Here is a 24,460-nt window from a genome sequence, read left to right as displayed (position 1 = left end):
CTTGGTGAATTAGGTAGTATTTCATTTCAATCCTTTGTAGGATTCAGGCTGCCAATATCTAGGCTTTGAAGTGGTTTCCCCCTCCTATGATGTAACTGGATTCCCTTTGCTCGGCCTGAAGAGGCGTTCTTATACTCCTTTTCCCCAAACTAGTCACCAGTGGTTTGCCAGGCTGTGAGTCTGATGTGACTTCTCCTCTGGTTTCCAGCAATTCTCCCCCAAAGTCTATATTTCCTGCCCTAGATAATTTAAGAAATGAAGATTGCAATACATTCTGCCTGTATGTGTGTGCTTGTGTGCATTTGGTCGGGGGTGGGTACTGGGCTGGTAGCAAGTGCTGCAAATTTCAACCCTCAGAATTTAACTCTTCCAACTCAACTGGGATTTAAGAGTGACTCTACTAACTCTATTTCTTTGTTTTGGGCCATCCACACCAGCACAGGCTTTACTGACTCTTCAATTTCCATTAGAGGAGCGTTGCCTTACCCATTTTTTGGTTGTTCATTGAAGAAAATGGGTATTTTATTGGAATCATAGAATGTCTTCACTCCAAAATCTTTCCAGAAGTTAACAGATTGATATTTCGTCGATCTACTCATTTTCCATGTCGTGAGAAATAGTTTGTATTGAGGCTTTTCTGAGAGATAGAGGCAGGCTCTCTATAAGTCACTTTCACTTTGAGTAAAGGCCCCGCCACCAGAAAGCTGTGTGTTGGGATGTATTTTGCCTCTTGCATAGATGTATTCACTGACTTTCACCATTGTAGTATGTCTCTAGCCAACACTGAGAGGCATGTAGGGGCAACTGTGTGAAACTTACTTTATTTACTGTAAGAAAGCTTTTGAAACATTGCCCTTCATCATACATTGTCTTTCTTAAACCAGGAAAATAACAAAAACAAACAAGTAAATAAAGATTCTATCATGTCTCAAATATGGTTTTTCTAAAGTGTGGTTTCTTAAGAGGAACAATTTCATAGCAGATATAAAATCTCATTGTATCAGTTCCTGCTGATTTAAAAGTTATAGTAGTTTGTACCTATGATTTTGATCTCAGATCAAACTGGCTTTTAAAATTTTATTTTTATTAATTAATTAATAATTTTTTTTTTTAGAGATAGGGTCTTGCTCTGTTGCCCAGGCTGGAGCATAGTGGTGCAGTCTCAGTTCACTGCAGCCTTGAACTCCTGGGCTTAAGAAATCCTCCTGCTTTGGCCTCCCAAAGCGCTGGGATTACAGGCATGAGAAACCACATCCAGCCTGATTTTGATCTTAATGTAAGCATGACATATTTTGTAACTTAAGCTCATGGTACCTTCTTTTGTCAAAAAGTCTTTGGCTGGTTCATAATTATGGCCTTAATTTACTGCATTTAACCTACAGATGCTCGTTTGTTTAGTGGCTTATAAAATGGTCTGGGGAAAGTAAACGGTATTTATTGGAAATGTTTTTGCAATTTGGAGGTTAAATCGTGTTTCTTCTATCAACTCAAATTATTCTGTCTAGGTCTCTTCACACTAGGTGGCAGAAGTGGCTCGTGGAGGAGTCTAATTTCTTGACACGTGATTTTGATTGCTCCTGGGGGGCAGGGGCACTGAGGGGAGAGGTAAGTCAGTTACTTATAATGGACACTGAGATGTCTTTCTCTGGTGAAGTGAGCAAATGTGTGGCTTGGGGGATTGTCTCTGATTCCGAACCTGTAGCCCCACCCATCTTTCTGTCTCTATTGTTGCATCCAAGAGACAGAGGTGAGGGCAGGGAGAGAGAAAGAGCACCTTCATTTTTCCTTATATTAAAGTAACCAGAATCACATTTAATAAACCACAAGAGAGATGAGAAGTTACAAGCTGTTATGCACCCTGAATTGACCTGCCTCTGATGAGCTACAGGAGACAGTCGTCTGTCGTGGCCCATGGGTCTCTTGATTGTGTTGATGGATACCAGGTTAGCAGTGTTCCTGCTTGGAATTCTGCTCACATGTTGCTTTTGGACCATTTCAGTTGTTTAGTCAGCACAGTGAGAGAGCATGAGAATTGGGTAGGGGGGTGCTGCAGCCTTCTTTGATACGGTCTTGTTTTGGGCAAGTTACTTAATCTTCCTAATAAAAAAGTTTCCTCATCTGTAAAATGGAGATGATAATAGTACTTTATAGTGTGTCTTTGAGAATTAAAGGAGATAATACATGTAAAGTGTTTAGCACATGGTAAGTAGATAATATATGTTTGTCATTGTTTTTTGATCAAGTCAAACTCTATAAATGAACTTTAGTTTCATAACTTATAAGATGATAGTTTTGAATAATAGATCTGTCATGTTGTTAGCCTTCAAAGTTTAAAAACCTGTGTACAATGTGTGCACTGTCTATGTCATTTCTATATCACTCATAGGGCCTCGCACCTGGATGTGCACACAATAGTTAATCATGCTATTAAGTGCTTATTGAATTCTGGATAAATAGAGAACATAAGGAACTATGCTTCTAACATGATTTATTTTACATATAAGAAGATAGTTAGAACAGAAGTAATATAGTCCGTTTGTTCCTTCTTGATCATTCATTTAATCATTATATTTAAAATAATGAACATTAATGCACCAAACCATTACTACACCCTAGGAACTGAGCAAAAGGCAGCAGGTATAGAAAGCAAAGGTAGAACAAGTTTCATGTCCTCAATGACCTGACTTCTGGGTAGGGAGACAGAGAAATGTAATATGGTGCCAAAAAACCTAAGTCTGCACAGATTCCACTGGAGCCAAGGGTGAATGAGCTTGTTGTATTAGCAATTGCAAGCTGTTTGATGTAGCTAGTGTGTAGGGTGCTTTGGGGGGTGTTCAGAGATGAGGCTGCTTACCAACATTTTCTAGGGTCTAAACTGTGCACGCACTGTTTGAAATGTAGATGTACCACATTTGAAATGTAGATGTACGTAAAGTTCAGCATTTTAAATTAATGAAAAAATATTGACTTTAACAATTGTTCTGAAACTTCTCTATGGTAGAAATGGTAACAACTATACTGCATTGTACAACTCATAGAACTTAGACATTATCTCATTTGATTAATCATAATAATAGTATATTTCATTTAATGAGCCTATATTATTTACTAGGTACTATGTTTGACACATAACATATGTTATCTCATTTATTCTTAATTAGAACCCTTTCTATCAGGAGCCCAAGTTTACCAATAAAGGGTGTAAGTTAGGAAGAACCAGCTTAAGCTCTGTGAGAGCAGAGATCATGTCTATTCATCTATCCCTCTATCTGGCATGCTGCCTGGCACCTAGTAGGAGTTTAAGTGATGTTTATTGACTGAGTAGATAATATGACTTTTTCAGGTAAAACTAGTAACTAATGGAGACAAATAGGAAGGTACTGGATTTTGACAATTTAGTTCGACATGATCATGGTTAGTGGAAGTCCACTTTTTTTGTGATGTAGGAGAGATTCAAACTCAGTTTATGTCCTTTTAGCCATAGATCCTTGCTGGAAAGAAATGCAATCTTGGTCATCAATTGCTTTTCATTTGTCAAGGATGTTGACTCTGGTGAGACAGTCCTTAACTGTGCAGGACAGGCTATCAGTAATTACGTTTTTGAGGAGTCAAAAGTTATTTGTGCATTTTTGACTGCATGGGGCGTTGGTGCACCTAACCCCTTGTGTTCAAGTGTCAAGTGTATTGTTTCTGAGAAACCTTTCTTTTCATTCTTAGTTTGATCCAATAGCCTCTAGTCAAAGGTGCTGTATTATTGTTTCAGCTTCTGGTCTTGGGGTCATTTTGGTTGAGGAAAGGTCACCAAATTTTGGGAATGACTTCATGACTGAAGAACATTTTTGAGACTTTTGAGTTTGCTCCCTTTCAAAACAATGTTTTTCTCTTTAATGAACTTAACTGAATAATTCAGCCAACAGTTTCTGATAGCTTACTCTGTGTTAGGTCCTATGATGGGTGCTGAGGATACAAAGATGGTAAGACACAGCTCTTGCTTTCAAGGATAAAAGGGGGAGACAAACTTGTAGACAGATTACTTTTGTATTCAGTGTGTTTGAGACCCTCATTGGGAGAACATGAAAGGCCTATGGATGCACAAAAGAAGCAGAAATGGAGGCCATTGTTGGCTTCCCAGCATCAGCAACTTGAGGCTAATGGGAGGTAAAGGTGGGGAAGAACTTGTAGGAGGGGCAAAACCATCTACTGGCTATGAATGGGTGAGAAGGCTCAAGTTGCACCAGCAGTAATCTGATACCTCTGCCTCATCATTTTGATGGGCCAACAGCTCCCCAGATTTTAGAACCAGATTAACACTGCACGTATTATTTTTGTCTCTTTCATATTCATCAGCTGAAAGAATGCAAGTCCTCATTGACTTGGATGGCTCTCAGGTGGAGAAGCTGAAGCTTACCCTTTCTTCTTCCATTCATGGTCCACTGATGTATGGCACCTCTAACGGTTGTCCTTGGTCTAGGCTCTGAGATGCTGATTTATCTTTGGCCATTAATCTTTTTTTTTTCTCTCTCTCTTTTGAGACAGAGTCTCACTTGCTCTATCGCTCAGGCTGGAGTGCAGTAGGGCAATCATAACTCACTGCAGCCTTGAACTCCTGGGCTCAAGCGATCCTCCCACCTTAGCCTCCTATGTAGTTGGGACTACAGGTGCACACCACCATGCCTGGCTAATTTTTAAACTTTATTTTAGGTAGAGACCGGGTCTCACTATGTTTCCCAGGCTGGTCTCCAACTTCTGGCCTCAAGTGATCCTCCCGTCTCGCCCTCCCAAAGCACTGGGATTACTGGCATGAGCTGCTGTGCCCAGCCTGGCTATAAATCTTCAATCTGTTGTATTACTAATTCTTCCTTTAATCTCCTTTTCCCCAGTTTTCTCCCTTTGTGTTTATTTTGTTCTCTCAGTGAGTACATAACTGAGATTATCTCTATTTATTCTAAGAATTTGGTAAAAACGTTAATGCAAACTTAAGTACAAAAACTGCTGGGCAGAACTGATTATCTACACCTGCTATCAGAGAGTGAGGGAATCCCTGGAGAAGCAGGGGTGCTATCACACAGTTAACAATCTGAGCAAGTCTCATCTCTTGAACCCCAAATTTAGTTTAGTTTACCAGACAGAATCCATGACTGCTCATCAACATAATAGACCAATGGTAAGTATGAGGATGCCAGATAACAATTTGTCTCATGATTAGAAGCTAAGGGCAGGTAGCAGCCATTCAGCAACCCTGAAATGACAAAGTTAGGGAATTGGGTTTTGAAAATGAGTCACCCAAACATTTTCTTTCCAAACATCTGCAGGTTGTTAGCCTGATTTATTTTGAATTAAAAAATCTTTTTGAGCTGGCTGACAGCTTATTTTAATTCCCAGCTGTTAAAATGTTTCAGCAATTGGAATTAGGGGCCGTGCCATTGCTTTTGATGTGGCGGGAGCCAGTTCAGCGCTCAGGTACACTTGGGGGACCTGCCCCTTCTCATCATGGCCCTCTATAGTTTTATTTCCTTCTGTTTAAGAGCTTGGTGCTTTGAGTTCTTTGTTTACGATCTATTTGCTTGGGTCTTATAGAACTGGTGGCCAAGGGAGTTTAGCTCATATTCCAGGATGTGGTGGCTTTTATCCAGCACACAGTGCTTTGTTGCTGTCTTAGATTCCTTCTGTGACAAGTTGGGGGATAAACAAATAAATAAATAAGTGTATATTTAATTAATATTGCCGCCTCCTTTCCCAAAATATGCTGAAGTAAACTTTCTACCCAAAGCAGTGGTTCTTATAAATGTTTTCAAGATTTTTATGCAGATTGTTGTCTTGGTAAAGGCTCATTTTCCCTGGTTTTGAACGAATGCCTCTCTTTTTTGTTGTGATTTTGGATAGGGGATCTGGGGACCTAGTCTCCTCTATCCTGATGCCACTTACCACAAACAGCTGACACCGCTACCAGCATCTATCATGACCACCACCAAGGAGCTGGTCCTGGCCACCCCTGACTCCTGTGGAATGCTGTCTGATCATTACTATTCCTTTTAATGCCTGATTTCCCCAAGGAATTATCTACACTAGCTGCTTTCCCTCTTCAGCTTCTCTTTATGCCTCAGTTTTTTCATTCTGTTTGTGGCTCATTCTATGCTTCTGTTGACACTGGGCTCTCAAAGGTCATTCATGGCTTTTTTTTCTTTCTTTCTTTTTTTTTTTTTCCCGAACATGTTTTTTAGAGCATGCTTTCAATTAGAAAAGTAGTATGGCTTATAATATAACATTTAGAAAACACAGACAAATGTAAAGAAAAAACATTCATGATCCTGTTTTCTAAAAATAATTATTTATAACATCTAGTTTACCTCCACTTGGACATTTTATTTGCATATGGGCATATATTCAAAAAATTGAGCTCCATGAGATTTGTAGTATTCATTCTTTTTCAATATCATGAGCACTCAGACCACTGGAAAATCCTCATGAACCATGCTTTAAGCATTCATGGCTTTTTAATTGGATCTCAGTCTTTTTGTTACTTGATTTCTTTGCTTATTTCATGACCTCCATGTATCTGCATTAAGGGAAATTATAAAACCAAAGCCTAGAATGACATAATGGGACATTCAATATTAGAGTAAAGATTTATGACTTTATTCAGTGGGCACCAAGAAATCCAATCCTGTTTTTTAAGCTGTAAAATGAAGCATCAGATTAATACAAAGATGAAAAAATGAATAGAAGAGACCATTATGAAGATGGTCACAATAGTCTAGGTGGAGATAGGTATTGAAAGTATTAATTAGAATAATAATACAGAGAATCTAATGTAAAGCAAAGTTTGGAGAAGCATTGAAAGAGTCAAATAGATAAGATCAGGGGAATGATAAAATATGTAGAGGGAAAGTGGAAGGAGAGAGATGCCTTTCTCTAATTATGTTCTTCAGTTTTGACTTTCATGTTTCTATTCCTGTTCTCTCTTTTTGTAGTATCCTTTTTTGGTCATCTCTTTTCATTGAAATCTACACTTTATTTTAAGTTCCGGGGTATACACGTGCGGGATGTGCAGGTTTTTTACGAAGGTAAATGTGTGTCATAGTGGTTTGCTGCACCTATCAACCCATCATCTAGGTATTCAGCCCAGCATGCATTAGCTATTTCCCTGATGCTCTCCCACCCTGCGCACTCCCCGCCCTAGCAGGCCCCAGTGTGTGTTGTTCCCCTCCCTGTGTCCATGTGTTTACATATGAAATGTATACTTTTTATCAGGATTCTTCCTCTTCATGAAATTTTTCTTGATTACCTCAGGCAGATATTATACCTCCAATTTCTTAGAATTCTGTCATACTTTCTATATCTCAAATTTTATCTCATTATTTTAGGGCAATGATCTCCTCAGCCGTAGTTAGGTAGACAGCTTGTGGTTTAGGCTTTAGATGAAGGTGTAGGAATAAGAAAAACGCAAAGAGGCAATTGAAAAGTATAAGATTACATGATCTAATGACCAAGATGAAATTACAAACTCCATTTCATGTGCGGTCTGAATTAAAAATACTTTAACTTGTGACAACATTTTCAAGTTAGCTCCTTGGGAGCTTTGTTAGGATAAAATGAGTAGGAGGAACTTACCCTTTGGTAAGAAAATACATCATAGTTTCCATGTCTCTCAAGGAACTGGAAGAGAGTGCTCATTCTTTTTTCTGGAAATTTAAGAAAATTATTTTATATTAAACAATTATCCTCTCTCCCTCCCTCCCTCCCTCCCTCCTCCCTCCCTTCCTTCCTTCCTCCCTCCCTCCCTCTCTCTCTCCTTTCTCTCTTTCCCTCTCTTTCTCTTTCTTTTTTTTTTCTTTCTTTTTTTTTTTTTTGTAGGATCTCCCTCTATCGCCCAGGCTGGAGTGCAGTGGTGTGGTCTCAGCTCATTGCAACCTCCGCATTCCAGGTTCAAGCAATTCTTCTGCCTCAGCCTCCTGAGTGGCTGGGATTAGAGGTGTTAGCCACCATGCCTGGCTAATTGTTTTTTTGTATTTTTAGTAGAGACAGGGTTTTGCCATTTGTCCAGGCTTGTCTTGAACTCCTGGCCTCAAGTGATCCACCCGCCTTGGCCTTCCAAAGTGCTAGGATTACAGGCATGAGTCACCATGCCCAGCCTACTATTATTTCTTGACAATCTTTCCTGAAGAATTTATCTTTATGTGACTGAATGTGAGTTAATTTGTTTTCTAGAAAGATGCATTAATACAAAACAATATTGGTTTTCCACTAGGCTTTTCTTTCTCTAAAGACCTTCAAGTCTTAAGAGAAATATGACATTGAGTGTGAAAGCAATATATTAGAGAAAATAAATATTCCCTGCCTCCAGCCTTCCATTTTAAATTTGGCTAAACTTTGGGAATCATTTTAGAAGAGTAGGGTAATATTTTGAGTGAGACTCTCTCAGATGCAGTTTAGTTGGGAATGAGTCATATGGGTGCTTTCTTAATGATACGTTATGACACATCACATGAAGATGACTGAATTTTCCTTTTCCTCTTTCTTTCCATTAGCACATTATCTACTTTGCCTCTTTTTCAATGATGAGTATCCAGCTTTGTCTTTTCACTTCCTTTCACATTTCAAGTCTGGTTTCACATTCAGAATTTATTAAAAATGACTTTGAGAAATGCTAATTTCACAACCATCTTCAAAGATTCTGTTCAGAGTTCTAGGATGGAGTTTAAGACATTGCATTTTCAGTGTCTACCACCATCACTCTCTGTCCCTAGAGGATTTAGGTACAGTTGGACTGTGGATTACGCTTTGAAAAATTCTGGACTAAAGGAGCTGATTGAACTTTATCTCTTATTACAGCATCTCTCTCCAATTGCCTTGGCCCATTAGTGAGCAACTACTAGATTTAAATTTGTATGTTTCTTCCAACGCATCTCTTTTGAAGGTTTATTATAGTGTTATGTACCCATTCAGAGCTTAGTACCTATAAATGGAGAGGATTCTCTGAAGATAACCTCCCTTTATCACTTCTAACCTCTTATTCTTGGGTTGTGACCATTTTGCTTACTCAGGGATTCCTAAATAGCCTTTTCAAAAAGTGCTCTAATGAGTAAATTAAAGTAAAAAGCATTTTTAATGATATTCATGTATCTGATAACGATTTGGACTTAACAATGCTGAAATTCTATAACTCAATGAAATGCACTTTTATAATGTTATACATCTATATTTAAATTACCTATTAAGATTTAAATCACAGCAAAACTTTCTTCTCTCAGATAATGCACTGTGGAAGTTATGAATTTACCTCTCATTTCTTTCCAGTAATTCTTTCTCCCATTTTGTGTGAGATATTTGTCTTTATAATTTGACATATTATTTTGGTGTTGCTTAAATATTGCAACTATTATGGGTAACTGAGCTGGCTATTGACATTGTTTGCCACTTATTATAAACAAGAAAATAATGAAGACAAGTCAAAAATGTCAGAACCTGTTAATGATGGGATCGCAGTTATGGTTGGATATACATCAAGGATGGGAGTAGCTAGCTGCTATTTATTATGACATTGTACCAAGTGTGTTAACTTTTGTTATTTCATTTTTTCTCATTTTATTCTTATTGACTCATGTAAGTATAATCATTCTAATGTTACAGAGGAGAAAACAGAATCTCAGAGAGTAACCTGCCTTAACCACAACAATGTAAGTAATAGAAGCAGAGCATGAATCCTGGCTTGCTTGACTCCAGAGTCTCAGCTTTCCCCACTACACTGTGCTGTTATGATGCTTAATTCATTTATTGTATGCCAACTTAATAAAAATAGATTTTATTCAGTGGAAACTCTCTGAATCATACTATATTGGTGGATGCATGTCATTATACATTTGTCCAAACCTGTAGAATAGAAAACACCCAGAATGAACCCTAATGCAAACTATGGACCTCAAGTGACAATGATGTGTCTATGTAGGTTCATCAATTGTAACAAATATTCCATTCTGTCCAGGGGTGTGGATAATGGAGGAGACTATACATGTGTGGGAGCAGGAGCTATATGGGACCTTTCTGTACCTTCCTCCTAATTGTGTTGCAACTCTAAAATGGATCTTAAAATATATATATGTATTTCTTTTTCTTTTTATTTCTTTTTTTTTTTTTTTTTTTTTTTTGAGATAGGGTCTCACTCTGTTGCCCAGGCTGGAGTGCAGTAGCACAAAATGCAGCAGCAGGATTCTCTTGCCCCAGCCTCCTAAGTAGCTGGGACTATAGGTATGCACCACCACGCCTGACTAATTTAAAAATTTTTTTGTAGAGACAAGATCTCACTATGTTGCCCAGGCTGGTCTCAAACTCCTAGGTAAAGTGATCCTCCAGCCTCTGCCTCCCAAAATGTTAAAATTACAGGCATAAGCCACTGCCCCTGGCCTAAATATATATATATATATATATAATTATTATTTTTTGAGACAGAGTCTTGCTGTGTCACCCAGGCTGGTGTGTAGTGGCACAATCTTGGCTCACTGCACCTTCTGCCTCCTGAGTTCAAGTGATTCTTATGCCTCAGGCTCCTGAGTAGCTGGGATTATACACATGTGCCACCATGTCCAACTGATTTTTTAGTAGAGACAGGGTTTCACCATTTTGGTCAGGCTGGTCTTGAACTCCTGACTTCAAGCGATCTGACCACCTCAGCCCCCCAAAGTGCCAGGATTACAGGTGTGAGCAACAATGACTGGCCAAAAATAATTTTTTTTAAAAAAGATTTTGTTCTGATTCTGATGGGGAATGGACTCTTTTCTAAAGTTACCAGCAGTTCTTTAACTGGTTAGCGCTACGTTAGGCATAGCTCGTAGTTTTTAGGGTGGCAGGTATGTAAAAAAAGAGGAGAGATGGACAAAACCAAGACAGCAGAAGTAGCTATTTGAGGGATTTCGGAACCCTTGACTGACAGTCACTTCCTGGGACAGTCCTGATTTTGCTGCTCTTTCCCCACCTCTTTCTTTTCAAGGCTTACTCCCTACACACTTACCCTAGCTCTAACCCTTCCTGCTGAGGGGCACCCCATTCACAAGGCAGCGGATACCAGATGTGAGGAATGGAAAGAAAAACGTTGTTACTTGATTGTTCTTATGAGTTATACACTCAGGCTCTTGGTTGGAGGGCTCTGATGTGAAAGCTTGGCTTCAAATCCACTGAAAAACTAGCATGATTGAAGTGGTGAACTGGAGATAGGGTGGGGGTGGCCTACCACGAGGACTAATTTGTTCTTTAAGTTTATCTAATGGTTTGTAAGGGTGGAAATATCTCTGGGGAAGTGTGATGGATTCTCCTAGGAAACTGACTTCACCAAATAATTCTTTTGAAACTGTTTTCAGAAAGGAGACAAGTGGCATGAATCTATTTACAAAGAGAATCACCTCTGTGTCTGTGACCCGAGAGCCATTCCCGTAGTGATACAACTTGGACATTTGTTCAGGAGGCAAGCGCTCACGCTGAGTGATTTTCAAAGCTGTTCGAGGGCATTTATCAGGCTTTTAACTCTAGGTACTCTTTCCCACGGTGTGAAGGCCAAGAGAAGGGATCCTGGGCTCTCTTCCCCGGCCCCAGGATGGGAATTCAGGGGGAAAAGGTCATCTACTCTTATCCCACAAAAGAAAACTTATTCATCAGTTGTCAAGCTAAGGAGCTTCGGAGTCCACAAATAGGGAAATTGCTAAGAGCTTATCAGTAGTGTTCACCCCCCAACCCAACCTGGGGCCACATGGAGAATGATGTTGGGGGCACCAATCTTGTCCTACTTCAGGTGAAAAGCAGGGGTGGGGGGTTCATTCTGAAGGGCTCCTTTGTTAAAATTCCTTCCAATTCCAGGAAAAACATGCACTCCAAAGCCATTATCTCTTTTACTTCTTACTAGGGGACTTCCAGGAAAGAGACAGAGGGAGCGAGAGAAAAAAAGAGGAGGGCAGAACAGCTGCAGTGAATTTAGTCGCCTCTCCAGTTGCTTTCCTTGTTGCAGAATATTTCACATCCCAGGATTTTCCTTCTTGTCCTCTGGACTGTTGATACACCCAAGATCTTAATATCCTTTCGATCACAGGTTAAAGACATGGGGTGGGGCCGGGGGTTGAGGGAGCAGAAAATTGTATTTTAAAGTTTTGTTCTATTTGTTTTATCAGCAATTAAAACTTTTTGTGGTCCCTACCCTGGGCCATGAGGCCACCCTGCTGTGAATTCAATCCAGCCTGACCAGCTAGGACAATGATCATATGAATTAATGGATCTTGATAGACCTCAGTTCCCCTCTTCTCGCCTCACTGAGCACAGCCCAGGCTTCAGTGGCTGCACGTGTGAGCATCCACTCCCACACTCTACCCAAATCACATGCTGAATTCATTGCACATGTGAGCCGTGCTGCACCTGTGGTCTGGAGATACCAGAGTAAATGTAGCTGTGCACCTCCTCTGGGTGTCAGAGGACCTGAGGTTGCTCCTCTGCCTCAATGAGGGGATCTTCCTTCTTCCCTCACATCTCTCCTCCTCTTTGAAGTCGGTAGCATGATTTGGACCCAGCCTCTTGGGAGAGGTGAAATACTCTTTCACTTTGGAACAGCTGAGGTTTGCTCATGGAATCGGAGGTGCTGAAGTCACAAGATCGTGGTGTGGGTGACGCTGGCGTTTCTTAGTAATGAGCCTTGCTGACACATCCCAGGAGAGGAAGTTAGGTTAGGGCAAGGCAAGTGAATGAAATTGATTAAAGGCTGCAACAGATTAAAAAAATTAATGTACTTCATTTAGGGTTATGATGTCTTCTTTCCTGGGTTAATCCATAGGCAATGTGGGATTAGGGCTCCTTAACCTACACCTGGAAGATTTCACGTCAGAGGAAGGTAAGATAGGGGAATCTGTAGGGGCTGGTCTGTGAGCCAGCATTGAGAGTTTAAATTGAGCCCCATAAGGAAAGCCTTCCTTATCTCCCATAACTAGGAATTACGATGGTGTCTGAGGAGGGGAGGCCTCTGGATGCAGGGTTTACTGTAAAACTGAAGGACAGCAAGGCTGATGCTCACAAGTGAGGGTGGAACAGGTATGGTAAAAGTGCTTTGCATTCAGCAGTCACTCAACAATGACTGAATTAAAGCTATTTTGTGATAAACTTTGTTTGATAGGCTACTGCCCCAGAATGTTTGCAAATATGCTCATTTTTGAGGTTCACAGCTGTCCTCTCCTTCCTGAGGTTCTACTGAGGCATCATTTACCTCCTGGTAGATGTGAGATGTGGTGATCACTATAGGGTAGGCAGCTTGGAAGCAAGGATTGGTGAGCAGTCTTTTGTTCTGAGTTACTACTGCAATGTAGGCCAAATTCCTCTAATTTTTTTTAAAAGACAGAGTGTAGATATTGATATTCTCATTTCCTTTGGAGCTAGAGTAACCCAGAGTAATAAAACCCCTTGGGCAAGCAAAGCAAACACAACTCAAGACAAACCACTTGCACGAGAGGCTTCAAATGGTGATTTAGATTTAGAAAGTTAAGTGATGGGATCTTGAAGACCACATATTCCTTGGGAAAGGCACATGATCTGGCCAGCCTGAAATGCATCATCAGCCCCTTTGAGGAGGTCAGTGACCCATGTTAATGTAAGGTATAAAATTCCAGGTTGTGGAATTCGGTGGTGCAACTCATGAGGGTTCCTACATTATAGCAATCTTTAAATGGTTTGATAAAGTTGAGAGAGAGAAACAAAACTGAAGATTCTTTTTTCTCTCTGAGTAATGAGACTCTTGGATGAAAGGCTTTTTCTATATATGGTTTTTAATCTTCATTTTCCACTTTCTGGTACCCAGATCGGCGCAGGGGAGATCTTTAACTTGGATAGCAGTTTGTATTTCTAATTCAGCCCCAGATTAGTCTCCTATTGTGTATATGAGATGTTGAACACAAAAGAAAACTGCCTGAGAGTGTGAGTTGTGGAGGTGGCTGGGCCAGATGCTTGCCTGAGTGATGAGCTGCAGATATCGGCTCAAGTGGAATACTAAAAAGGGCTGGTACATGACTCCAACATCATTGAATTTCCTTTTTCTCCTGCCAGTGGACATGACAACTGAGGATAAGGTGGCTGGGAGACCATGAGGGCAAATGTGACACAAGGCAGGAGTCTTGCCCGAGCTTGTCAGCTGGTTCTTATTTCCTCATGCTGCAGGAGCCTTCTCTGGTAGGGCAGAAAGACAATGAGATCTCCATGCGATTTTATGGATCAGTTTTCACTTTTCCAGATGCAAAGAGAGGAGCCATAATTACCTTGCATATGTTTTGATAGCATCCCTTGGGCAAGTGGAAGGGGTAACTCACAACAGATAAACTCTGCTTTTGCTCCAGAAATGTCTCCTGCATCTGCAACAGGGGGGTGTTGAGTGATGCTATAGGCAGCTGGAAGGGCTCATTTATTTGACCTAATTATTCCCAGTGTAGACCTGACTCATCATAATGGGCTCTTCTTCAAAGGAAATGAGAGCCAGATTGTCTCCTTGGCAGCAATGGAAAACAAATGCTATCCACAGAATGGCTGTTAGATTAAAAAAAGGTGCAACTTGCCTTTGGGGCCAGCTGATGTTTAATGATGTTACCAAGAATAGAGGACTGGAAAGAGAGTAGTGTCAACTTCTGACATTGTAGCTTTCTAAAAATGTTCTTAATAAAATTAACTTACCATTGGATGCCATGAACAAAAGTAACCACATACTCAGAATCCAAGGAAAAATGGAAGCCTTGGGGTGTTTTTATTAATAATCGATGAAATCTCTATGGGTACAATGGAGGACTTTTCACATAGAGACCTTATTATTTCTTAATCCTCTTGGATGCTCTATTGAAGGATTAAAATGATCTTTTTTTCCTAAGGGATGGAGAAATGGAGAAAGAGAGTTGAAATAACTCTCCTATTACCATCAAGCAAATCAAACACAGAATGGGACCAGCATGCCACATTCCCTCTGTGAAGCCTTGGAGTGCAACTGCATTAGCTCAATGGTGCATTTCACAACGTCACAACTTCATCTCAGATCATCACAAATTGTCCATATTGAAACCTGGGTGCAATGAGAATAATCACTTAAATTTTCTCTGGTCCCACTTTTCTGCTTTACAGTGGTAGTTGAGAATGTCATACCCCTAAGGACATGGGGAAGATGTGTCCTTGACTGATTGATCCCTGTGACACAGTCTGACACTTTGCTTTTGTTCAGCAATTCTCAAAGCACTGGATTGCAATGATGCCCTGTTGACAGCACTGTTCAAAAGTCGACCTGTTGTTGCTGGAACCTCCAAGAATACAGTGTTTGATCTCAGCCAGGATCCTGTCTTGGAAGAGGAGAGGGAATCCCAAAAACTACTTGTGAAGAAGATCCCATTGTTCAATCAAATCCTCGTCACTGTAGCAATCCATGCATGCCATTGCAGTTGGCATTCTGACACGTGTACACAGTGTTTTCATCTCTTCCCTGGAGTTGCAGCCAAAGCCTGAGATTCCTTTCGACACGACCCTGAAAAAACTCTGGGTTTGTGCTCCCCTCTGCTCTGCAATAACATACCAGCTCTGTGATGTGGCCAATGTTTACCTAGTTGGTGGGAGGACTTTTTAATATCAAAAGGAAAACATTTCTTCTGCATTCCACATAGGTAAGATGTGGTTTGCTGTTGTGCAGGGATAAGGATTTGGGGTGGGGAAGGGATGAAGAAAAGAAAAACAATCCCCCCACCCATGTTTTTTTTTGAAATTTTCAGGGCTAAAGTGATGGGTCAGAGTAGGTGAGCAAAAAAAAAAAAAAAATCATCAAGCAATGCGGGAAGATGAAAGATGAACAGACTTTGTTTTAAAGAGTCACAGTCATGACTGAGCATATGTTTCCTTTGCATTCAGTTCCAAAAATAGATGATTAGTAGTGAGAAGCAACTGGTTTCTGATACTTATCAGAGGTCAGTTAATATCATTTCCAACTGTTGGGGTTAGATATAGGGTAGGCTGTATATCTAATGGAAAGAGATTATAAAACTTCATGGTACCTTGGATTATATTTCACAAAGCTGTTTCTGGCCAGACAAAGCAGTTAGCTAAGTAAGAGGAATTTGCCCAAGGATAAAAGGGGCTGGTAAGTTGTAGTGATCTTTTTAGATACTCTCTGTTTTAAATAGTATGAATACACTGGCAGTTTATCAGTTATCATGGAACAGTGGGGGCCAGGGAGTGAGGGATGAGCAGGAGGGGACACACTGAAGACCAATTGGGTGAAGAAGCGGGTCCAGCTGGGTATAGAAATCAGTGCTCTATTTTCTCCATAGACCCCACAAATGGTAGCTTGCAGGCTAGAGATTCTCTGAACCTCTAATGTTACCTAGAAACCTGAAGAGGCTGAGGGTGCCCTGTTCTTAGGGAAAGAACAACCTTGCTTTAAGTTATGTTGTTAAATGTTTTGTCAGTTTGATTTAGTTTGTTAATTTCTCCAAAGCAGAATCTGCCAAGGACATTCCCAAAGATCTACTTACTTATTAGAGAAACCAAGAGAGTCCCAGCAGCACAGAGGGATCGAGAAGACTGAGAACAGAACTGGAGGTGAGAATATGGCCACAGGAGACCCCAGGACTTAACAAATGCACTGGTTTGACTTATTTTCTGGATATTTTCTGGATGTATATACTGCCTTTACTTCTCTTTAAAATAGGGGCAGTGCTAGAGGTATTGACGTTTCTTGAAATGTTCACAAGTCCTTGACACAGACTTCAGGGACTTGCAGTGATCTATGTAGACTGGATATGCTTCAAGTGGAAGGTTGTTGACTTTATTTTGGTCCCTAGGGTTAACATCCCACCTTATGGATTATTCAAGTTAAACTCTCAACAGCTGTTAGGGCTTTGTACTTCCACAGAGCTCAATCTTTCAGTTGACTGCTCATTGCTGAGCCCTGTACCATGCACTCTGGGAGTAATATAGGAAGTCTCTTCCTTAGGCATTGATTTGCAAAGGCTGAGTAGGTGAGAGTATGAAGGCGTGTAGGGGTATGGGCTAACTTTTTTTTTTTGATTGGGATCTCACTCTGCTCTCCACGCTGGGGTGCAATGGTGTGATCATAGCTCATGATAACTTCATACTTGAGCTCAAGTGATCCTTCAACCTCAGGCTCCCCAGTAACTAGGACCACAGGTGCATGTCACTACACCAGGACAATTTTTAATTTTTTGTAGAGACAGGGTCTCGCTATGTTACCCAGGCTGGTCTCAAACTCCTGGCCTCAAGCAATCCTCTGGCCTTGGCCTCCCAAAGTGGTGGGATTACAGACATGAGCCATCATGTCCAGTCTGATTTCTTCCTTTCTAATGTAGCTTTTCTTCTGAGGTTGAGGGAAACAATATAGTGCAGTTATTAGTATATTCTATAAATACTTATTGGGCATCTATCCTGTGACAGTCTGAGATTCAAAGGTTAATTAAGAGACAGAGAAGTCGTCAAATAATTTATGCTTGATTTACATTTCTCTCCTCTCACTAGACTCAGCTTCTCTAGCATAGCATTATTCTTCTTTACTTCCCAATCCCTGGCATCTAGCATAAACCCTGGCCTATAATTGGTACTCAACGAGTATTGAAATGATGTACAACAAGAAGTTTGCATTGATATTTTTCTTTCCTTTTCTCTAACAACTTTGCTTACACATAACAACTGACCATTTTCCTTCTATCAAAATAGAACATTTCCCTCTCTGGGCTGCTTATTTACCATTGTGTCTCTTACAGTTACTATGAGGAGGAATAAACCTTTCCCTTATTGGCAAGACTGCCTTGCTATTAGTACATATTATATCCCATAGAGGCAGAAACTTTTTATTCTTTTGTTCACCACTGTATCCTCAGCATCAAGAATATACAGGGCTTTTAATAATTATTTGTTGAATGAATACATAAAATTGAAATCAGGACAAAGGTTCTAACTATATGAGGCAGGTTAGGTTAAGCTTTGCTGCAGTAACAAACAAATCTGAAAATCTCAGCACCTGAGCATACGTAGGTTTATTTCTCTTTTGCACGAAGTTGGCTCTGGGTCCTGCAGCTTTCCAGGTCAGCTTCTTTCCCAGTGGCAACTTAAGGATCTAGTCTGATTGCGTCCTGTATATACCCAATCTAGAACATGCAGCTTTTGAGTTGCTGTATTATGCGAAGAGAGGGTACAAAGGTTGCATACAGACTCATAAGTGCTTTGACTTGGAAATGATCTGTGTTTCTTCAGTTCAGACTTTCGGTCATCAAATATAGGTAAGCCTATGAGTATTTGGTGAGCATGCCACACTAAGTATGTTATTCAGTGCTTGCTAAATGGTGCTGTAATTCCATGAAAAAGTAACTTGGTGTTCCCTGCTCACTCTTGCCACTTCAGTGCAGACTGGTCAATTTCCAATTGCCGTTTTCCTGAAGTCCATCTTGATAAGCCAGAGATTGCTTTGGCTCCAACATAAGAGGCTCTCAGTAGCAGGGAACTATGCTATGTTATGCTGGGGTTCAAATTTTAATAAGACATATAGCATCCACGGAGGAGTTTAAGCTGTTTAAATTTCTGGCTCCCAACTGGACTAAGCTTGTCAAAGGCAGCATTGACTCAACCAATGACTCAGGGAGTTGGTATATAAATACCTCAGATCCCTCACTGCTCTGGTGAGATGGCCCTGAGATGCATTTTCTACACTGGCTCCCAGAGATGTCATTTGGATTAAATTCCAATTATCCACAGTGGCAACTACCTTTATTGCTATCTCCCCTTCCCTGTCTCATTTTCCCATTTCCTGACTCCCCCAACAGTGTTTCTTGGGGTTCTCTCTAAAATTAACTATTTGCACTTGAATCCATGTCTTTGGGTCTGTGTATGGGGGAAACAACAAACTGAAAGAGAAGGTTAGAAGGTTATCTAGATAGTTATCGGTGTGTGTGTGTGTGTGTGTGTGTGTGTGTGAGAGAGAGAGAGAGAGAGAGGCAAAAAAACTTCATACAGATTAGGGAGGGGACCCTAGGGAGGCCTCTTCCTTCACTATCTGCACTTGGAGAACTGCTTAGGTAGCTGGAATGAAGGAAGTGAAAGAATACAAGCGAGGGGAAAGGAGAATCCCTGAGATGCCAGAAAGATTTTCTCCTATGCTATGCATTTAAGCACATAAAGTCTGGATCCTACTGTGAAAGTATTGGCTACCTGAAGTCTTGGGGAGAGGGATTCCCAAAGGTGTTCTAAAGCAAGCACTTCCTGGGCAGCCAACATGATACCTGTGGTAATTGGAGCCCTGTATTTATAAGCACTTCTTATTGGGATTCCAGAAGTGTAATTGGACAGGTTGACAAGTAGCTGTGGCTGCTTGTAACTGCAACACAGGGCTCAGAGTCCAGGCTGGGTGCAGTACTGAAGGAGTAAAGCATGTCGTTTGTGGTTCTCCACCTCTCCTTTTAGTGCCCTCTGCTCCTTTTTGGCGATCTGCTATACCCCAAGGGTCATATAATGGTAAAGAGACCTTATAATTTATCATCTAAACAAGGGCACTTAAAAAATTACCTTCCCAATATTCCAATGAGAAAACCAAGAAGTCATACAAGTGCTCCAAAGGCCAGTAAGTGGTGGCACCAGGATTTAAAGTAAGATTTGGGTGATTTCTTACTGCACCACCCATGTTCCGCGTTGACTCTGACAAAGGGCTTCCTGGCAGGGAGAATGGGGCTGGGGCTTGGGAGTCAGGAGATGCAGGATGATCCCAGGTTTGCTATTCACTCATACGAAAACCTTGGCAAGTCCTTTCTTTTCTCTGCTTGTTTTCTTATGTTTTGAGAGTTCTTTATATGTCCTAGATAACATGTTGCTTATCAGATACATGTTTTGTAAATATTTTCTCTTAGTCTGTGGCTTCACTTTTCATTCTTTAGCAAGCCTTTCACAGAGCAAAATCTTAAAGTTTTGGTGAAATCTGATTTATTAATTTGTTCTTTTATGGCTAATTGAAAGGTTTTCTCCCAGAAGCTTTATGGTTTTAGGTTTACCCTGAAGTCTACCATCCATTTTGAATAAAGTTTTGCATACAGTTTGGTGCCATAAATCAAAGTTAATTTTTTTACATATGAATATTCAATGGTTCCAGCATTATTTTTTTTTTAAGAGACAGGGTCTTGCTCTGTCACCCACGGTGGAGTGCAGTAGCATGGGCATGATCATAGTTCACTGCAACCTTGAAATCCCAGGCTCAAGCAATCCTCCTGCCTGAGCCTCCCAAATAGCTAGGACTACATGTGGGTGCCACCATGCCCAACTAATTAAGAATATATATATATTTTTTTAGAGGGGAGGTCTTGCTGTGTTGCCTAGGCTGGTTTTGAACTCCTGGCATCAAGTGATCCTCCCACCTTGGCATCCCAAAGCACTGGGATTACAGGTGTGAGCCACAGCACCTAGTCCCAGCACCATTTGTTGAAAAGATTATTATTTCTCTACTAGATGGCTTTTACACTTTTGTCAAAAGTCAATTGTCCACATATGCATGGGTCTGCTTCTGCACTTTCCATTCTGTTCCATTGATTATTTTGGTTTGTTTCGTTTCCATCAATACTACACTGTGCTGATTACTATGTTTATAATAAATCTGAACCAAGATAGTTTCAGTCTTCCAATTTTGTTCCTTTTCAAAGTTGCTTCAGGTCTTCTTGGTTCTTCACATAGTCATGAATTTTAGAGTCAGTTTGATAGTTTCTACAGAAAAACCTGCTGGGATTTTGACTGACATTTTGTTGATTCTACAGATTAATTTGGAGAGAGTTGCCATCTTGACACTATTGAGTCTTCTGACCTGTGAACATGCAAACTGGGACACATTTGAGAATGAAAGGGGACACTATGAGTAAGCCAGGGCAGTTCTGGGCAGATTGGGAATTATGGTCATCCTACCTGGTGCCCTCTTGTCACTGCATGTGATGATATCTTGCTGGTGGCATGGTTCCCACAACTCTCATTTACTCCTGTCCACCTGAAAATTTATTATGTTTCCAGTGGTTTTAAGTATATTCCTGGCACAAATATATCAATAAATAAAACCTTAAAATCACAGTATCCCATTGGACATTTTTCTTGGATGACAAGAGTGACAATGGATTAGCCTGATAAATCAATCCCTAGTCAGAATTACGTAGCCTATGTCTTATTCTATTACTCATTCTTTTGACTTTCCAATGTGTCCAACACATATACATAGAGCACTCGTGTAATGGGTATGATGCTTGGTAGTATTCTTTAACTTTTAAAAACAAACTCTGAAGGCAGGTTAGAGGGAAGGTGCTTCAGACTGTCTTTAAACATTCATCTCTGCAAATTAGATAACAGATGTGAAATGCCCAGTACTGTTTCTGATTCATGCTAACCCCCCTATAAATTCCCCTCCCTGGGAGCACATCAGAGTCCTGGACAGTCCCTGCAGCCAGCCGGGAAGGTCCTTCCTGGGGAGGGAGAGAAGGATGTGAACCCTGATCTTCCTATATTTGGGGTGGATCAAAAGCAAAGCTCATGTAAAGTTGGCAAAAGAAAACTCAAACTATTGTGGCAAAAAATATCGTGACAAAAAATCTGGATGAGTTCTTCTTAGTGTCCCTGCCAGCAATCTTGCAAGATACTTGGGGACATGACCTTCATCGCTCTTTGCTGTCATACATCAAGGGTCAGGGTTTGGGTGGAGCAAGGAAGGAGGTGGTCACTTTGAAGCCCTTGCCATTCTTGTGGGCAGGAAGTGAAGTATTAAGGGTGTTATCCAAACATTCTCTCTCTGCTGAGTTTTGAATCACCATGACTTCCTGTGCATCTCTTTTGTACTATGTTCCTTTCCTGGGACGCTCTGAATCCATTCAGGTGGTCAAGATGATAAGCTCAGCTGGTTAAGCTATGGGGCTAAGGAAATCAGGCTCACAGGTTCAGTCTCTATATGAGCCAGTTAACTCGGCACACAAAGCAATCTGTCCAAGTCCTCAGATTGCCTCACTAACTCCCACCAGCTGGCTTGAAAACACGTGCTGTGTAGGGCCTGGAAGACGGATGGCTAAATCATAGGCCCATTCCCAGTCCTGGCAAACTCCCCATAAAGGAGGCCCTCCAGACATTAGAAACCGCTCATTAGATTCTGGAACTGTTCATTAATCTGGCAGCACTTCATTTTAAGGCCTGGTGTTTATCTTGAAGTAATTTATGAGCGACAGAGGATTTTGTATTGTTGTAAAAATTGGTTGTTGATAGTGTACCAGCCTACTTGATAAATGACTCCTTGCTTCAGTCTGCTGGAATGCAGAGTCCACTCAATGGGACTTGAGGAGGGAGACCGTGGGCCAGCCAGTGGGGGCTTCGGAAGTTTAGTTCTTCATTTAGAAACTTCTACTGAGTGCCTTCCATGGGCCAGTCACAGTTTAGATGCTAGGAATTTAAGTATTCATTATTTCCACCAATGTTTTCTTGCCTATTCCATGCTAGGCATTGTGCTGGACCCTAAAGCCTCAGCAGAGAATGAGACCCAATCCATGCCTTCAAGGAGACCTGAGCGTGGGGCAGGAAATAATTTATTTTGTGCCATGGACTTTTTTGGCAGTTTGGTGAAGCCTGTGGAAGCCTTCTCAGAACAATTTTACAGGCATACAATAAAGCACATGAGATTACAAAGGAAGCTAATTATAACATAATACACTTGTCAAAACATTAAACAAATGCATCAGTGCTAAGTGCTAACTATTGAACATGTAAACCATGATTCATGCCTGTTCATTGCCTTCTTCTAAGGGATACTGCCCCAATCTCAGCTCCTGCTGCTGGGGTGGTCCTCACCTTGTGTCTCTATACACCCAGACACAGCTGAGTAAAGACAGGGAAGCACTAGCCTGAAGGCTACTGTTCCTAAGCAACTGAGATGCTCTGACCAATCAGAAAGAGCTGCCTCGTCAGAGCATCACTCTTAGGAAGTGTAATTGGAAAGCAGGAAAAATTCTGGCAATAAAAGGGAACTGAAGATGAAGAAATACAGAAAGTGGACTCATGTAGAGTTGCAAGTCATGAGGTGTCTGAGCAAAGTAAGGTTATGGGGAAGCTAAACCAATAAACAGGCAGAAGCTACTAAGAAAGGGAGAGAAGTGAGTGATTCAGTAACTTGTAGTGGGAGAGAGGTAGACTAACACGAAGAGAAGCAGAAAAGCAGAGTAGCAAGGTGGCAGAGTGGTGAAGGGAGAGCCTTAGAAGGAGAATTCAGAAACTTTTCTTCTGAAATCCCTTGAATTGGTTTGGATTCAGAAGAATCCTTTATTATTTATTTATTTTTGAGACAGGGTCTTGCTCTTTTGCCCAAGCTGGAGTGCAGTAGTGTATTGCGGCTCACTGCAGCCTCGACTTCCTAGGCTCAAGAGATCCTCCCACCTCAGCCTCCTGAGTAGCTGGAACACAGGTGCACAACCCCACACCTGGCTAAATTTTAATTGTTTTTTGTAGAGATAGAGTCTCCCTATGTTGCCCAGGCTAGTCTCAATATCCTGGGCTCAAGGAATCCTCCTGCTGCAGGCTCCCAAAGTGTTGGGATTACTGGCGTGAGCCACCAAGAACAACCATTTCAGTTTTTCTCATGGGAGCCTGGTTGTGTGTGTGTGTGTGTGTGTGTGTGTGTGTGTTTTTAATTGCACTGAAGGCTAGCTTCCTGGATGACATTCCCATTTTCTTTATTACCATGCAGATTCTCACAATAAACTTTCGTTTCCTGAGGCAACTAGAGTGAATCTCTGTTCCTTGTGATCAAAAGAGTCAAATCCAAACATGGCAGGGTGGGGTGAGGACAATGAGGCCATCCTACTCCGCCTCCAGCAACGGGTGTGGACAGAGACTGCTTCCCAGCTCCCTTCTAAATTGATTTTGGATTTGTTAAAAATTACCCAGTTAGTTCAAAATTTTGGCAAAACATGTCATGGTTTATTAAAATACTGCTTCTTTTTCATGTTGTTGACATTTTAATTTCATTACACTGTGTGGTACTTAGGGTAAAAGTTTATTTGGTATTTTAGGAGAAGGGTATGGTAAAAGAGAAAAGTCATATCAGTAAAAAATTCAAGGTAATTAAAAGTGATATTGAAGTGGCCCTGTTGTCTGGGGTAAATACCCAAGGTTCATTGCCTCATGCCAAGGAAATCAAGGACACCGATACAGGTGAAGTGAGGTTAACAGCAGAGGTTTAATCAGCGAAAGAAAGAGAAAGGAGAACAGCTTTCTCTCCTGGGAGAGACAGGGGTGCCCAAGTGGGACTTCCAGCCCACAGCAGATTGCACAGGATTTTATAGACAAGCTCGAGGAGGTGGTGTCTGATTTACATAGGGCCCAAAGATTGGTTGGACCAGGTGTGACATTTACATAGCATGGGGGTGGGGTAGGGGGCAGGGGGAAGTGGGGAAGCTGGTCACCCCGCCAT

The 24,460-nt window shown here is 41.0% G+C and overlaps 1 long non-coding RNA gene across 4 annotated transcripts in view, besides 1 other annotated feature; it reads left to right on the top strand.

The window, feature by feature from the left end:
• The window catches only part of LOC105372926 (uncharacterized), a 198,874-nt gene that overhangs the window by 77,370 nt on the left and 97,044 nt on the right, over positions 1-24,460 (top strand). For 2 of the 4 annotated variants that reach the window (XR_001738475.1, XR_001738474.1), the window contains 3 exons: positions 9,631-9,677; positions 11,352-15,650; positions 16,481-17,016. This is a non-coding gene — a long non-coding RNA (uncharacterized LOC105372926). Of the gene's footprint in view, positions 1-9,630; positions 9,678-11,351; positions 15,651-16,480; positions 17,017-24,460 lie in introns of those variants that run through there. The other 2 variants (XR_922612.2, XR_001738473.2) reach the window with 2 other exon arrangements.
• Positions 12,440-12,589: an enhancer, noted in NCBI's record as "active region_2550". NCBI's record gives its function as "activates an Ori minimal core promoter by ATAC-STARR-seq in GM12878 lymphoblastoid cells {active_cell/tissue: GM12878}" and the evidence as "EXISTENCE:reporter gene assay evidence [ECO:0000049][PMID:35858748]".

This window comes from Homo sapiens, chromosome 1 (assembly GCF_000001405.40).
Source record: "Homo sapiens chromosome 1, GRCh38.p14 Primary Assembly".
Taxonomy (NCBI): domain Eukaryota; kingdom Metazoa; phylum Chordata; class Mammalia; order Primates; family Hominidae; genus Homo; species Homo sapiens.
The sequence above is the reverse complement of the archived record's forward strand: the minus strand, read 5'-3'. Positions and strand labels throughout refer to the sequence as shown.